Below are 14776 nucleotides of genomic sequence, written 5' to 3'. Positions count from 1 at the left end.
GAATAGTAAATTGGCAGAATCCTTGAGGGAACCATCTTTATTGCTTCTTTGTCTTCTTTATACATACCAGGGTACCTGGTACACAGGTAGGTGCTTAAGACATGGTTATTGACCTACTGCTTGACCAACTGACAGACCAACATACTGTGTGGAATAATGGGCACTCAGTACAGTATTACATGGCTTTTTTTCTCAAATGCAAGGCCATTACCCAGAATTTTAAGCTGATTAACGTGATTGCCATGTTAGAAGGGAGGGAAACGTTTAACCCTGGACAATACATCTCCAGTGGGATATTTATGACCCAGCGATATGTCATCTGAGAGGTTTCAGTGGCTGACACGGTAGTTAGCCTGATGCACATAAAAACACCTCAGATGGCACTAGGAGAAGGACCATGAATTCATATTGCATGCAGTGCTCAAAGAATTAAATTGTTACCACTTAACATTCATTGAATGTCGGCACTGTACTTTTGTAAGAGGAAAAAATAGAGGAGACACACTCCGTGCAGTGGGCTTTGTTAGCTATAATTAGTTGGTAATAGAACAGTGTTGATACAGCAGTTCAGCAGTTAAAGAAAAGCAGTGCCTGTGGTACAAATGTGAATATCTTTATACATCTGGTTCTGTTCTGCTTACTGTGTTTCAGCACCATTACTGTTCTGGGGCATAATGGCTAAACTAAGAATTTTACCAGCTCCTAGTTTAAAAAAAAAAAAAAAAAAAAAAAAAGAACAACGCCATTTCTGGAACGCCTTAGTTCAATCACATATTCTGTCATTTTTGTTTTTTTGTTATAACTGGAATTCTGGCTTCTTTGTTCTCTGTTGGAATAGATATATCTAGAAGCTCAGTCTACAGTCGTAAATTGCAATTTCACTTCTCTTTATTTAAAGTCTTGCTAATTCTGATTATATGTGGATGGATGTGGATGGCATTTATCTTTGCATTGTCTGGGAAAGCATAAAATAAAATTGCAAAGAGAAAAACAGGTTTGGAGTGACTTCAGAACCTGAATTGTTTCTGCTCTTTCATCGGTAAATAGTGGTGTGTAAACTGTGTGGCTAATCATGGAACTTTGGAGTCATTTGGTCTTGCCTCTCTTTTCACACTAGAGGGACAGAGGCTAGAAGATGGGAAGTGACTTGCCCAGGGTCACACAGCTGATTGATGATATATGTAGTAAGAACACAAAAGCCACTGGATTCCACAGCCAGGGCTCTTTCTAATGAGACTCATCAGTCAACTGAACTAGTCCCTCTGAAGAGACCTGTATGTGGAAGCAAAATCCATATGTGCATGTGACGTGAGATCCTTGAGAATGAGGAACCTTTATATCTTTATCAGCATTTTAAAAAACAAACTTCTGTATTGTTCACTCCCTGTAATATGCATTTTTTTCATTTAGGAGACTTATTTTTATTTTTTTGGTAAACTTAGGAGACTTATTTAGTTTAGGAGAAGTCATTACTTCACTTCTCATGTAAATTATCCATGACTGGATAGAGAGCACTAAAACTTGGATATTTTTGACAACTAATTCCAATAATTTTGGACTGTCTCTCTAGATATTAATGGTTGCCAGAGTTAGGTGACTGATTTGCCAGTATTTTGTCATTTTTAAAATTATTTTTATTCTCCAAGTGCAGGTATATTTTAGCTTGCAAAATTAAGTGGGTGGAAAGATAAGTGAATTGAAAGTTAGAAAATCTGAGTTCTACTTATGGCTCAGATTCTTCATGGTAAAATGAGTCAATTTAAACCAGATCAGTGTTTTCCAGAGCATGGACTATGTATCATTAGTATTAATAAGCAAGACACTTTAGAGGAGACATACCTTAAACAAAAATTGAACACTTACATGTTTATTTTATTTTATTTTTATTTTTATTTTTTTAAGATGGTCTTGCTCTGTTACCCAGGCTGGAGTGCAGTGGCACAATCTCAGCTCGCTGCAGCCTTGACCTCCTGGGCTCAAGTGATCCTCTTACCTCAGCCTTCTGAGTAGCTGGAACTATAAGCATGTACCACCATGCCTGGCTTTTTTTTTTTTTTTTTTTTTTTTGTACTTTTGGTTGAGATGGGGTCTCGCCATGTTGCCCAGGCTGATTTCGAACTCCTGAGCTCAAGCAATCCACCCACCTTAGCCTCCCAAAGTGCTGGGATTACAGACATGAGCCACCGAACCTGGCTCGTGTTTATTTTAATGTGTTACTACACATTAAAAAAGTAAAACCATCATATCTGACTGATGACTTCAAAGATGTTGTTTTTCAGGGCAAAACTAAAAAATATTTCTGTAAAAACTATTAAGCATCTAACAAAAATTAAGGACTAGTACAAGTGAGTAAGGCAAAGGCCATGAAGATGATCCTCAAAGAAGTGGAACACAGGATCAGATCATCTCTAAGTTCCTTTAAACATAAAAGTTCTGTAATTCTGGTAACTTAAACCTGTTATTTATTTGTTCATTGTTGTGCTGGCAGGTTTTACTTGTCTTTATCAAATAGTATGTCCAGGTTGGATGATAGAACATCACAAATATAAGTTTAGCATTAATGCTATCTAAATTTTCTGGGTGAAAAGGAAAGCCTTGATATCACATTGGAAAGTTTTTAGAGATAAAGTCAGTGGGCCAGGCACCGTGGCTCACTCCTGTACTCCTAACACTTTGGGAGGCCAAGGCAGGTGGATCACTTGAGGTCAGGAGTTTGAGACCACCCTGGCCAACATGGTGAAACCTTGTCTCTATAAAAATACCAAAATTAGCCAGGCGTGGTGGCGCATGCCTGTAGTCGTAGTTACTTGAGAGGCTGAGGCAGGAGAATTGCTTGAACCCAGGAGGCAGAGGTTGCAGTGAGGTGAGATTATGCCACTGTACTTGAGTTTAGACACTGTCTAAAAAAAGCAAAAACAAAAGTAAGAAAACCTCAGTGGAATCCATAAGCACAGCCTGAGGATTTTAAAGTGGAATGGGGGTTGCTAAAAGCACTGAAATCCCTTTAAAATGCTTTGTAAGGATACAGTTCTATTCTCTCACTGAATTATAGGTTGATTGTATACACAAAGGTTATACTGCACACATGGTCTAAAGAAGAAATCCATGTCACAACAAACCACATGACAGCTTTTCTGAAGATCTACCAATGAGGTTTGCAATACTGTATTCATTTGTTATTGGAAAAACAATAATAAATATGGCCGGAAGAGGAATCAGAATGGAAGCCATAATATTATCATATTTTTTGTGAGTAAAAAAACCCTAATATGTCAAGACTGAATAAACAAGAATGGTTTATTTGTTTGAATATGCAGTGAGATATGTAAGCATTTGATGATCAAGCTTCAAGAACAAGATTTGAGGCTTGGCACAAAACTTGGAAAGTTCATTGGAAAATGGTTTAAGATGATAGCTCAGGCCTTCTCTAGAAAAATCTGCCAATTTGTTCAGCAGTGCCACCTCCCCATGGCCTGGGCTAGCATCTGTCTTTGATGAACAGCTCATTGGTTCATGAATTCACACAGACCATGAATTCTGACACTACAAAGGGAGGGATTCTCCCCAGTGAAATTGTATCTGGGAGGAAATAGCCTTCTGAGGACATTAGACATCTTATCACACAAGGAAAAATGGAAGAAACTGTAGCTACTCCACTAGAGTGGAGATGATTTCCGGGGATTATAATAGATTGTTTTCAAATAGTTGAAGAACTGTCCAATGGAAAAGGGACTGGGTTCTTATTTTCTTGTTATTTCAGAGTGCAGAACTAGGATTAAGAAGGAGGGACAGGCAGGAAATAAATATATTAAAGACCATGGATTCCGCTCCCAGTATATGCTGGGTGTTGTGTATGTGATTTCTTTTAATTCTCACAAAGTCCCTGAGTGAGTGGTAGATGTTATTATCTCCCTACAACAGAAAAAGAGATGGAGGTCATAGAAGTTAAATGATACTACTACTAATAGTAGTAAAAATACTATTAGTTACTAGTAAAAAAAAAATACTAACATTTATTGGGTATCTACTTCATGTCAGACACTGTTCTAAATGCTTTGAGTACATTATCATTTTTTATTCTCATAACAATCTTAGGAGATAGGTACTATATTTATATCTGTTTTACTGATGAGGGAACCAAGGCACAAGGGTTAAGCCCCTTGCTTGGTGTTGCATGTTAATAAGTTGTGGAGTGGATTTCAGAGCCAGGCAGTCTGGCTCTGCAGCCAAACATCCTTCACCCTTACGCTATTCTGCTACTCTATTTTTGGAGCATTTGTTGTGTGTCAGATGCTGTACTTGATAGTTTGCATCCACATAGCAACACAGAAAATTAGGCATTATTATTCCCATTTTACAGATGAGAAAAAGTGAAGCTTAAAGAAATCAAGGAAGTTGCCCAAAGCCAATGACTGACCTAAAATTGTTACTTAGTCTTCAGGTTCCAGGCCAAAGTCTTTGGACCATGCTCAGCTTTCTCAGAGGTACAGAATCTGAAACAGAACTTTCTAACAAGTAAAGCTATGAAAAAACTAGGATGGGTTGCACAGGGGGAGGAAGGAGCTCTCCTTCTCTGGAAACCTCAGAATGAAAATTGAAGCCAGGTGGGGGTGGCTCACGCCTATAATCTCAGCACTTTGGGAGGCTGAGGTGGGAAGATTACTTGAGCCCAGGAGTTCAAGACTAGCCCAGGAAACATAACAAGACCTCACCTGTACTACTGCTAATAACAAGAAAAATAAGCTGGGTGTGGTTGCCTGTGCCCATAACCCCAGCTACTCTGGAAGCTGCGGTGGGAGGATTGCTTGAGCCTGGGAGGTCGAGGCTATAGTAGGCTATGATTGTACCACTGCACTCCAGCCTGGGTGATAGAGCGAGATCCTGTCTCAAACAAACAAACAACAAAAGAAAAAACAACCAACAAACCAAACAAACACAAAACATTATGTCGTCTAGAGGGAAGGGATAGAGGAGATTCAGATGTCATGTAAAACATTGAACGAGATGCCCCATAAGGTTTAGTCCTGCTTTGGGATTTTATGCTGCTATGTTTTTTTCTCATCTTCCCATGTCACCTTGTTGTCCCCCAGGTGTACTCAAACATATGTGCAAATATCACTCTAATATTTGAATCTGGCTCTGGGGTTTAGATTGCCTTGGTAAGATACTCACTTGCTAGGATATTTGACACGATGCCTTAGGGGAAATGTTAGGTCATTTGAGAACTCAGCAGCATAAACAGTAAGTGGTAAAGTTGTAAACTAAGGATGAAAATATAGTGTGAGGGCCTTCACACAATATGAACAGATAGGATCTTCCAGTAGCAGTTGGAGTCTCCCTTAGATGTACTTTTATAGTGAAAATGTTTGGCTGTCTTGACTTTTCCAGGTGTTTATCAAATGCCCAATTTGGGAGGAGTAGTTTCCTGAGGGTGGTCTCAGTTTTAATTATCTCCACTGGAATTTGCCCACTCTGCTAGAGGTCTTATTTTCAACTCTATGCCTGTGGGTGGAAATGTCTTCTTCCTATGAGCTCCAGGTGATATTTGTTGTACCATCTCACAGAGTGGCTTTGGCATGTTGCACTGCCTTGTCTTCTGAAACCATCTCTTGCTTTGTACTTATTCCTATGGATAGCAAAGATTCTCAGTGCCTCTGGGTCAGGATATCTATATAAAGTCTGCATCTGTATACGCCTCACTTCCCCCATCCCCTGCCTTGAATCGATCTTCTGTGCATTCTCCCTAGTGTCTACACATTATTTCTCTTTGATGGCATCATGGTGGTGGTGTAGATGTGCGAGCCTTCTTTGCTTGTCTTGCTGTCTACTTTGGACTCAAAGCTGAGAAGAAACACTTACTATTTCAGCTCAAAGCTGAGAAGAAACACTTTTCCCATTTTTACTGTCCCCTCTACTCAGCTGTTCCTTGGACTTTGATATTTAAATGTTTCTCTGAAGGAGGTGGGAGGTGGAGAAAGAGGTTGAAGTGATTCAGAAATTGCCTAGTGTTCCCCATAATGTCAGAAAATTTATTGCCTAGTATGAAGTCAAGATGAGGAACCAATTATGTACCATGTGATGATTGGCTACTTTAAAGTGGGTAGATTCATAGAACAGGGAACTATTTACAACAAGAGGTTTACATCTGTGCTACTTTCAGTCTAATTCAAAATAATGACAATGATGTCTGTCTGATAAGCTGAGATGACCTCCCAAAGGATTTTGATGCAGTAGCTGGGTCTGTAGCTTAGCTGAGTTACAGAAAAGGAGAAATGGGGCTGTGTCTGTATGTTAGTATTAGAATGAAAGCTAGAAAACAAACACTAGAATAGGTAGATATTACATTTATTCATATATTTAGAGATGTAGTGGCTGATTTATTAAATTTTCATTCAAATGTTGGTGCATTAAGTATAAATGCAAACAGTCCTATTCTAGTGAGCATTTAACTATTGGTATAGGGATATTGCTTATCACTTTTAGAGAGTGACACAGTCAGCCCCAGCAGGGAACAGTCATTCATTCTCTGGGAAAACTACTTTTCAAAGACAGGAAATGTTGCTAAGATTGTAAGCACCGAGACTGAGTGTAACCAAGTCTCAGTGATGGAAAGGAAGACATCAAACATTTTTACATCTAAAAAAGCAACATCGGCTATAATGAGGAGGGTTTCCAGGTTACTAATGAGATCACAGTGGATTAGTGAATTTTCTACGTGGTAACAGCATATTAATTTCTAACCTTTCTAACAGAAAAAATCCATTAATTTTTTGCGGAAGTTAAACTTTCTTTTTGGGCTTCCAATTAGACCCACTGTGATAACCAGTTCACAATTCCTTCCTCCCTACTCTCCTCCTTTCCTCCCTTCCTTCTTGCTCCTCTTACTTTCCTTCTCCGACACAGATAAGAGGAAATAAAAAGGTTAGTCATTGAAGAAATGTGGGACTATCCAGGTTGCACACTGATCTCTTCTATTTCCCTCACTGAAATTGTCATTGTTAAAACAGATTGTTTCTTTAAGAAAATAAATAAATAAAGGAAAAGAGAAAACAAATTAAACAAAGCCTGTAGAGGCAATATGTTTAGGGAGTCTTGTGTGGAGCTTTCAGTGTGTTCTCTGCTGCATGTTAACTATCAAGGGTTGGGGCTGGGATATGAAATATTGTTCCTTATTTAATGTTTCACACTCTAATCTCTGCATTGCATATTTGCTTCTCTTGTGACCTTCTCTTTGCATTTATAACTGCTTCTTTTCACCTATAATCCGAAAATAAGTGTACATTCCTACAGAGAAATTAAAGGAGGCTGTCAGTGTAGAGTTAATATAGTTAAAGCATCCTTAACTCTGCGACAAACCCCTTAAATAATTAAAACTGTATGCTTGAAGAGTCAGATTTGCATTCCTTTACCAAGTTTATTTAGTACACTTTGTTACACTCAATTAAATGAGGATGTTCTGTTTCATTTTCTTTGCTTTGGGTTGATCATTTTGCCTTTTGATTCTTATGCCCTGGTGTAATTTCACAGTGCTTAGGTCTCTAAAACTATACATATATTAACGTATATGTAGATATATACATCCCATTAAAAGGCTTAATATTTGTACTGAATAGAATCTTTGCCCAAGGCATTTGAGCATTCCTGGTAACCTCAGGTGTAACTGGGACTGCAGATAATTCATCGCAGTAAAAACGAGTTTGACAAAGTTCTTTTAACATCCAGTGTCTTTTTTTTTTTTTAATTTTTAAAGCTCTGTTATTTTGGCATCACCTTCTCTCCCTACGGTTTGATTTGTGAATAGCAAAAACCAGAAGATACAGGTGTTGAATGGTTGTGGAAAGGAAATTAAATATAAGTGCTATCTCTCCACATCTCAGTTGGCAGAGCATGTGCAGACTGCTCTCTGTAAATTAGTTCATTGCTTAAGTTATGCATGTTTAAGAAGGAATAAATTAGTTATCTATTTCCTAATGAGTAGTGGGATCAATTGGAGCATGATGAGAGAGAAATAGCATAATTTTGCTTCCCCAGTTGAGGTTCAGTATCCCTAAACTTCACCATTAATCACTCTATCAGTTTCCTGGGTTATTTCAGATCTATATGTAAGATATTCATTCCTTTTAATTTTCCTACCAGGTAAGTAAGTCCTTTTGAATTTGCCCAGTGGGTTTGTAAATGGGTGATGCTGTCTCTGTTACACCCAGAAGTGTCCTTAATTACAGTGGGCCCTTCTGCCTTTGCGTCAGTTTGTCTGGGTGCATTCACGAATAATAATAAATATGTATGTGCGACGACAATTTCAAGGGTTCTAATATGTTTAACTGTTATGGGATCTGTTATGTCTACTTTAGGGTCGACCCCATCCCATATGACACTCCAAAACCAGCGGGCCACACGCGGTTTGTCTGCATCTCAGACACACACTCCAGAACAGATGGTATCCAGATGCCTTATGGGGACATCCTTCTCCACACAGGCGATTTCACCGAGCTGGGACTGCCCTCAGAGGTTAAGAAGTTTAATGACTGGTTAGGTAAGGAATGATTGCGTTCTGGCGGCCCCAATTAACCTTTCCCGTCCGAGTGTCACTCACTGCGTCCTAATTGAATTAGAGCACTTGGAAGCCAGCTCAGCCATTTCTCGTATGATATGCGGTGGTGTCTAGCTTTAATCCAATTCTGTTAATTAAAGATGAATTTTTAGATATTTAATTTTACTGTGCATCCTTTCAGTGCCTGGCCTTGGTGGCTCTGGGGCAAAGGGATGGAAAGCTTTGAAACCCATCTCATCTCACTCATTCTGCTTTAATGAGGGCATTCATTGGCACACAGGAGACCTAGAATCATATTTTTAATTCATTGGCTCTGCAATCTTTTTTTCCCCAGATATTATAAGCAAAGATATACAAATGACCTACTAGTAAGAGAACATTTCTAAGAAATGAAGGGGTTATAAAAGTCCTTATATGAAACAAAATTCCTATAGCACAGTGCTGCTTGGGAGCGGATTTCCTAAGTGAGCTGGAGGGTGTTCTAGACCCCTGAAAACATGAGATATATTACTGTAAAGTAAAAACTTGGGATGTGAAGTTGCCCTGTGTCCTGTAAAAAGGATAATAGCAATTTTCTGGATATTGTGGAGGCACCCACAGGTCAGTTACTGCAAAATATTGGATCCTGGTTCCTCTTAGCGGAGGGAAAGAAGTGCAAATGTTCTGAGATTTTAGAATCCCTAAAGACGAAAGAATTATATAGTAAAGAGCAGACGTCACTCTGGGAGCGTAACATTGTCAATAATATGTCAGCCAACAAAAATAACTTGGGAGATTTAGGCAAAAACATTACAACTTTGTTTTCCATCAAACTAAAGCAGGGTTTGAAAATTTTTTAAATTTTCGATTAAATGATAAGACGTGTTAGTGGAAAGATGATATTTTAGAATTGTAAGCAATAAACTTAACTAATAACATAATTATTTTGATTTTTCATGTGACTTTGCTCATCTGTTCACATTTTGTATGGTTGACATCTGAGTACATATCTGCTTTTTGACTTTTGGCTGTTTTCATTTAATAGTATTTATTGGTAAGACTTAAAACGTTTTTGCATAATTTTCATATTCTTTTTAATAGCAGCATGGCATTCATATGGTTGGCTATGCCTTTCTTTAATAAGACATCTCTCTAAAAATGAGCATTTAAATTGATAACAATTTTTCCTCTGGTAGCTAGCACTGAAATGTGCATTTTTGTTTGTGTATGTCGTTTTGTTTCTATTGATTTATTTCTTAGGGAAAAATACTATACTTAATTTGCTAAGTCAAAGGATATGAAATTCTTTATGGTTTTTGCTACATGTTGGCATGTTGCTTTTCAAGGGCACTGTAGCTGTGTGTTTCACTAGCAGTGAATGAATGTATAGGTACTAGTTTTATCATGGTCTTGGCAGCATTGGATGTTGGAGCATTTATATTTTGTGCTGTTTTAGTAGGTACTTAATCATGTTATTTAAAATGGCAAGATATTTTAAATATTATTTAGCATAATCTCATTTTTACAGATGACACAGAGATGTAGAGAAGTTAAGTGATTTTTTCAGTTTCATAGTGGCAGAGTTGGTTCTAAATCCAGATCTTTTCGCTTATGTCTTTTTTCTCTACAATAATCTCTTTATTTTAGCAACTTTCATCCATGAACTATTAGCAGTTAAAATTATTGTTGGTAAATCTTGAGAGTTTTGAACTAGTCTGTGTCAATGGAATTTCAACACAGAAATTATCGAGCTGCGTTGACAATGTTGATTTTTAAAGGAAGACAACAGCACTGTGGGAAGTGTTTATAGAAATGGAGGACAGGTTAGGGCTGGTTATAATCTTGTTTAGCCACTGACCTTGGGAAACTGAGTTAACCTTCCTTTTCCCCTTGGTTTCCCTCTGCAGGACGAAGGATTAATACTACTTGTCTTTCTGGATTGTTGTGTAGATTAATCAGTAAATGATTGCTGCTAGTAAGTTTTTGTGGGCCATTAATAACTGAATGGGGAATGTGCCAAATGAACCATCAAAATATATTTAAAGGGTAAAAAGAAGAGGCCAGAGGAATTATTTAGTAGATCAGAAGTAAACACTGGGAGATTTTATAAGGGAAAGTACTCCATAAATGGAAATGTGTCATAACTAAGGAAATACAATGATAAGGAAATAAAATGCCAAGGCACAGCTGCATGGTCAGTGCCTTCTCTTCCTATTTCCCCTATGATCTGGTGAGACAGGAGGAAGAGGTTTCAGCATGGGTTGCAGAATGTGAGATCGAAGGGAGCCCTGGGATATGGTTAGAGAAGTTGGGATCCCATAGAGAAGGCCAAGAATAGCTCACTGTTACCCAGGCAACCTCATGGTGCTCAGAGGGTAAGAGATGGTGTGTGATAACACTCTACCACTTGGCTCAATGAGGACCCTTTCTGAAAGGGTGCTTCTAGCAGCAGCTGCCAGGTGGCCTGGCAGAGTGGAGTCAGAGGTCAGATCAATCTAGGGTTTTAGGGCTTTTTCCATAATAGGGCATCCGACTGTCAGTGGGGCATGGGTCTCACAGATTTGGTAGGCATTTGGAGTCCACTGAATCTCTGATTTCTGGCTTTCTACTCTAGTGTAGACTACCCTGATTATTGAAAACAACCTGACTGTCCCCCAAGCTCCTTTATTCTGTCTCTGAGCTAAGTTGTTTCTACTATAGGCCAGGCACTCCCTCTATACCTGTAACATCCTTCTGAAGTTGCTAATGTTATCCCCATTTTACCCAAGGTCATTTAGTATGTAAGAAGCTCATAGTGGCTGAGTATCCACCCAAGTACACTCAGCTAGTAGACATGGGGCTGTCTGACTCCAAAGTGTGAGCCCTTTTCCTTTGTCATTCTGTGATATTATGACAGGGCTTGTGGCATCTGGAAGCATGCACATTTGAAGCTTGTACTAGAAAGTGCTGTAGCTTCTGGCAGCTTCATGTGGAAGTTGAGTAGCTGTTTGGCTATGTGCTAATATTGCACGTATTTGAAAGATGTGTTTAAGCTCTGCCCATCTTAAATCTCACCCTTGACTTAGCAACTGCAAGGCCAGGGAATCCCATCATGAGTTCTTTGTTGGTTCAGAGATGATGATCCCTGGTTAATCTGTACATATGTCACCTAGTAGGAGTAACAGGCAAAGTCATTAACATGCGTAATTTATCAGATAATCGAGCACAGCTTCATCTTAGGTCATAAGAAGATTGAACTCAAACCAGATATCACTACAGGATGGAAGGGGAGTATAACATGTAATGATTATGAGCAACTGGGAAGACCCAGCCAGTTTTGAATTCACTACCTTTGTTAAGTTGTGTAAACTCTCAAGCCTTGATTTGCTCATTTCCAAAATGGGCATCATAATGATAATACACCTTACGGTGGTTGTGAGGATATGCTCTGTGATAAAGCTCATACTGTTCTTAGAACAACCTCTGGCCTGTATACAACTTTCAACTAATAGAGTAGAGGAAACCAACAGAGCCAGTGGCATAGAATCCCAAAAGCAGAAGTTAAAAGGAGCTGGCCCTGGGCATTTAAAGAGGGATCCAGAGTGTAAAGAGGGAGCACCAAAATGTATAAAAATGAGCCTCCCTTATAACAGTGACACTAACCAGACAGAATGTTAGGACAGGAAGAGACCTTGAAGGCCATGGAGTCCTACCTCCTAATCTGATAGAAGTGGAAACTGAGACTGGAGAGATTTAATGAATTGTCCACGGTTTCGCAGATAATTAATAGCCAAGTTGGGATAGAATTTGGATGGGGCAGGATGGGGTGGGTGAACTAACATGTATTAACATGTATTGTCTATGGGAGGTAAGGTCCAGATGCTGTACCCCTGCATTACATGTGTCATTTCATACAACCCCCACAATAACTTGTGAAGTAGGTATTATTAGCTTCCTTTTAACGTGTGAGGAAACTGAGCCTTGGTGAACTTAACAGTTCAGCAGTGACCTCAGGATTTGGACTTACGTCCATCAGACTCCAATTTCCAAGTGTATTTCCTTACCTCTCTTCCCAGAGTGGGGCTTGAAATCTGTTGGAGGAACTACATCCTGGGTAAAACCATGGTTCTTCGAATAACTGCCTCCTTTTAACACAAGTACTTACACGTACATATGTTCAGGGCCTAAGGTGGTTTATTTCCTGAGAAAGCTGTTTTGTGGCACAGCCTCTCTACGTAAGCTGGCCGATGGAAGAGCATTATGAGGTAGGGAAGTATTCTCCCCATTTGGTGTAGACAACTTTGGTGAGTTACAACAAAGCAAATACCCGTAAAGAATTCTACAGATGCAGCCAGTCATGTAAGCTCCAAAGAACAGTCTAAATTATGTTATGACATTAGCATTTCATTGACCAGTCCTGGAAATGAGTAGCTACTGATGGTAGCCTGGAAATATCGTCTTTTTGGGCAAGCATTTCCCACTTATGAACACTTGAAATGATCAGGATATTCTAAAAACTGCAGCTACCACCGCATTGGCCCCTTTCCTCCCAAATCTCTACCATGGATTGGGGAATGAAACTTTGAATCCCTATATCAGACAGCTGGAGGGAGTGACAGAGCCCCTGTTTTCCATCTCTCCCCAGTCTGGCTAATCAGACATCCCAGTCCTCCATTTGCCCAGACAACCTGTGCCTCTCTTCACCTGGCTGCTGCCCGTAGTGCTGTCTTCAGGGCATCTAGTCTAGGGTCAGAGGGACAAGTGGCTTCTTATTGTCAAAGATTTATTGCCAGAGTATATGGAGAGAGGTACAGATGAATCCTTCTTAAAGAAATACTTTTTAAAGTGATAGTCAGCTCCTATTGTCTCATTAACATTTTAGCTAAGATGTGTTCTAGGTAAGCCATGAATAGGCTTTGGTGAGTTGAACTGGGACCCTGCCACCTAATAGTTAATAACATTTTCCTTCTTATCTTAGCAAAAATGCATACCAATCCCAGACTTGGCTTAAAAATAAACTTGTGAACTAGATAAAGTACCTGTCAGTTAAAATGTGATTATTTTTATTGCCTTGAACATCAGTGGCTTCTAATACCACATTCTCTAAAGGTACATTTTGCAAGGCCTCTTACCATGTGTGTTCTTCCTGCACGTTGGCCCTGTGTTCCTTCCACCTGTGCTTCTTTGAGATTACTTACTGTTCCCTCAATTTTGTCCCTGTTGTGCTTTCATCTTCAGAATACTTTTGGTAGCCTTCTTGAATATTGCAGTTTATGCTCATGGATGCTACACAAATAGGCATTAGAAGATCTCATCGTTTGATTGCACATCCACCTTCTTATTTCTGATTTTCCCTTATGCCCATACCCAGTTTCTTCCCATTTTTCAAATGCAACATGTCCCTTCACACCTCTTTCCCTTTGAAAACGCTGTTCCCACTTCCTGGAATGACCGTCTCTAGGAGAACTCATCCTTTATGACAGATTCTCTTTCACAGTAAGCTACTTTCCTTAACACATCAGTCACCAGTCTGTGCATCCCTTCCCATGGCTATGCCATTGTTTACTTGTTTCTCTGCCCTACCAGACAGCAGTGTGCATAATGAGTGCTCTTGGTATGCCTGGTTCTGAGTATAGGGCCTGGAACATTGTTGGTGTACACAAATGTTTGTTGAATCATTGAGTGAGTGGATGAACATAAAGGTACAAGATGTTTTTTCCTGCCTCCGCTTTTGGCCAAACTTTAAAATTATGTATGTATAGTGCCTAATCCTTCCCTCCCCTTCCTTTTTCTTTTATTCTCAAAGAACTTATAATATCCCATTGGCTGTTGTTGTTGATTCCTATATACTGTGCAGAAATAAGAAGGGTATATTGTTGCTGTTGAGTTTCCCACTTTATAATTAGAAAGGCAGAGTTTTTGGGTGGTCTATTCTTTCAGTCAAAAGTTTACGTATAACAATCCAGTCAGTCAAAAATTCCTTTTAACACAGCATCATTGCCATGAACTTTTAATTATGGCCTTTCAATTATGGCCTTTCTTTGGTCTGGATTGTCATTTAATAGTTCCGAGCTTCAGTTTCTCCAGCCCTAAAAGGGAGAACAAAAATGCTTCAAGGAAAATCTCAAGAAGAGGGTCATTCATATTTGTAAGAGCATTTTGTTAGACATGGCTGTAACAGAGTGTGACTGTAACCAACATCCCAGATTGCAGACATACAAATCAATTTTTGCCTCTCTCAGAAGACTATATTCCCTTTCTAGTGAT

At 39.1% G+C, this 14776-nt stretch overlaps 1 protein-coding gene across 27 annotated transcripts in view; it reads left to right on the top strand.

The window, feature by feature from the left end:
* MPPED2 (metallophosphoesterase domain containing 2) overlaps nucleotides 1-14776 on the top strand; it is a 202912-nt gene that overhangs the window by 42464 nt on the left and 145672 nt on the right. For 20 of the 27 annotated variants that reach the window (NR_165341.1, NR_165348.1, NR_165340.1 and 17 more), the window contains one exon: nucleotides 8352-8533. The exons of 6 other annotated variants lie outside the window; for them this stretch is intronic. Coding sequence is in view for 13 of the 21 variants with exons in the window: in NM_001377956.1 (NP_001364885.1) it covers nucleotides 8352-8533 (182 nt within the window). In the remaining 8 variants the exon portion in view is untranslated. Of the gene's footprint in view, nucleotides 1-3052; nucleotides 3250-8351; nucleotides 8534-14776 lie in introns of all 27 variants that reach the window. One more of the 27 variants, XM_017018231.2, reaches the window with a different exon arrangement.

This window comes from Homo sapiens, chromosome 11, assembly GCF_000001405.40.
Source record: "Homo sapiens chromosome 11, GRCh38.p14 Primary Assembly".
In the NCBI taxonomy this organism is placed as follows: Eukaryota; Metazoa; Chordata; class Mammalia; order Primates; family Hominidae; genus Homo; species Homo sapiens.
Note: the sequence above shows the minus strand (reverse complement) of the source record. Positions and strands in the feature narration are given on the sequence as shown.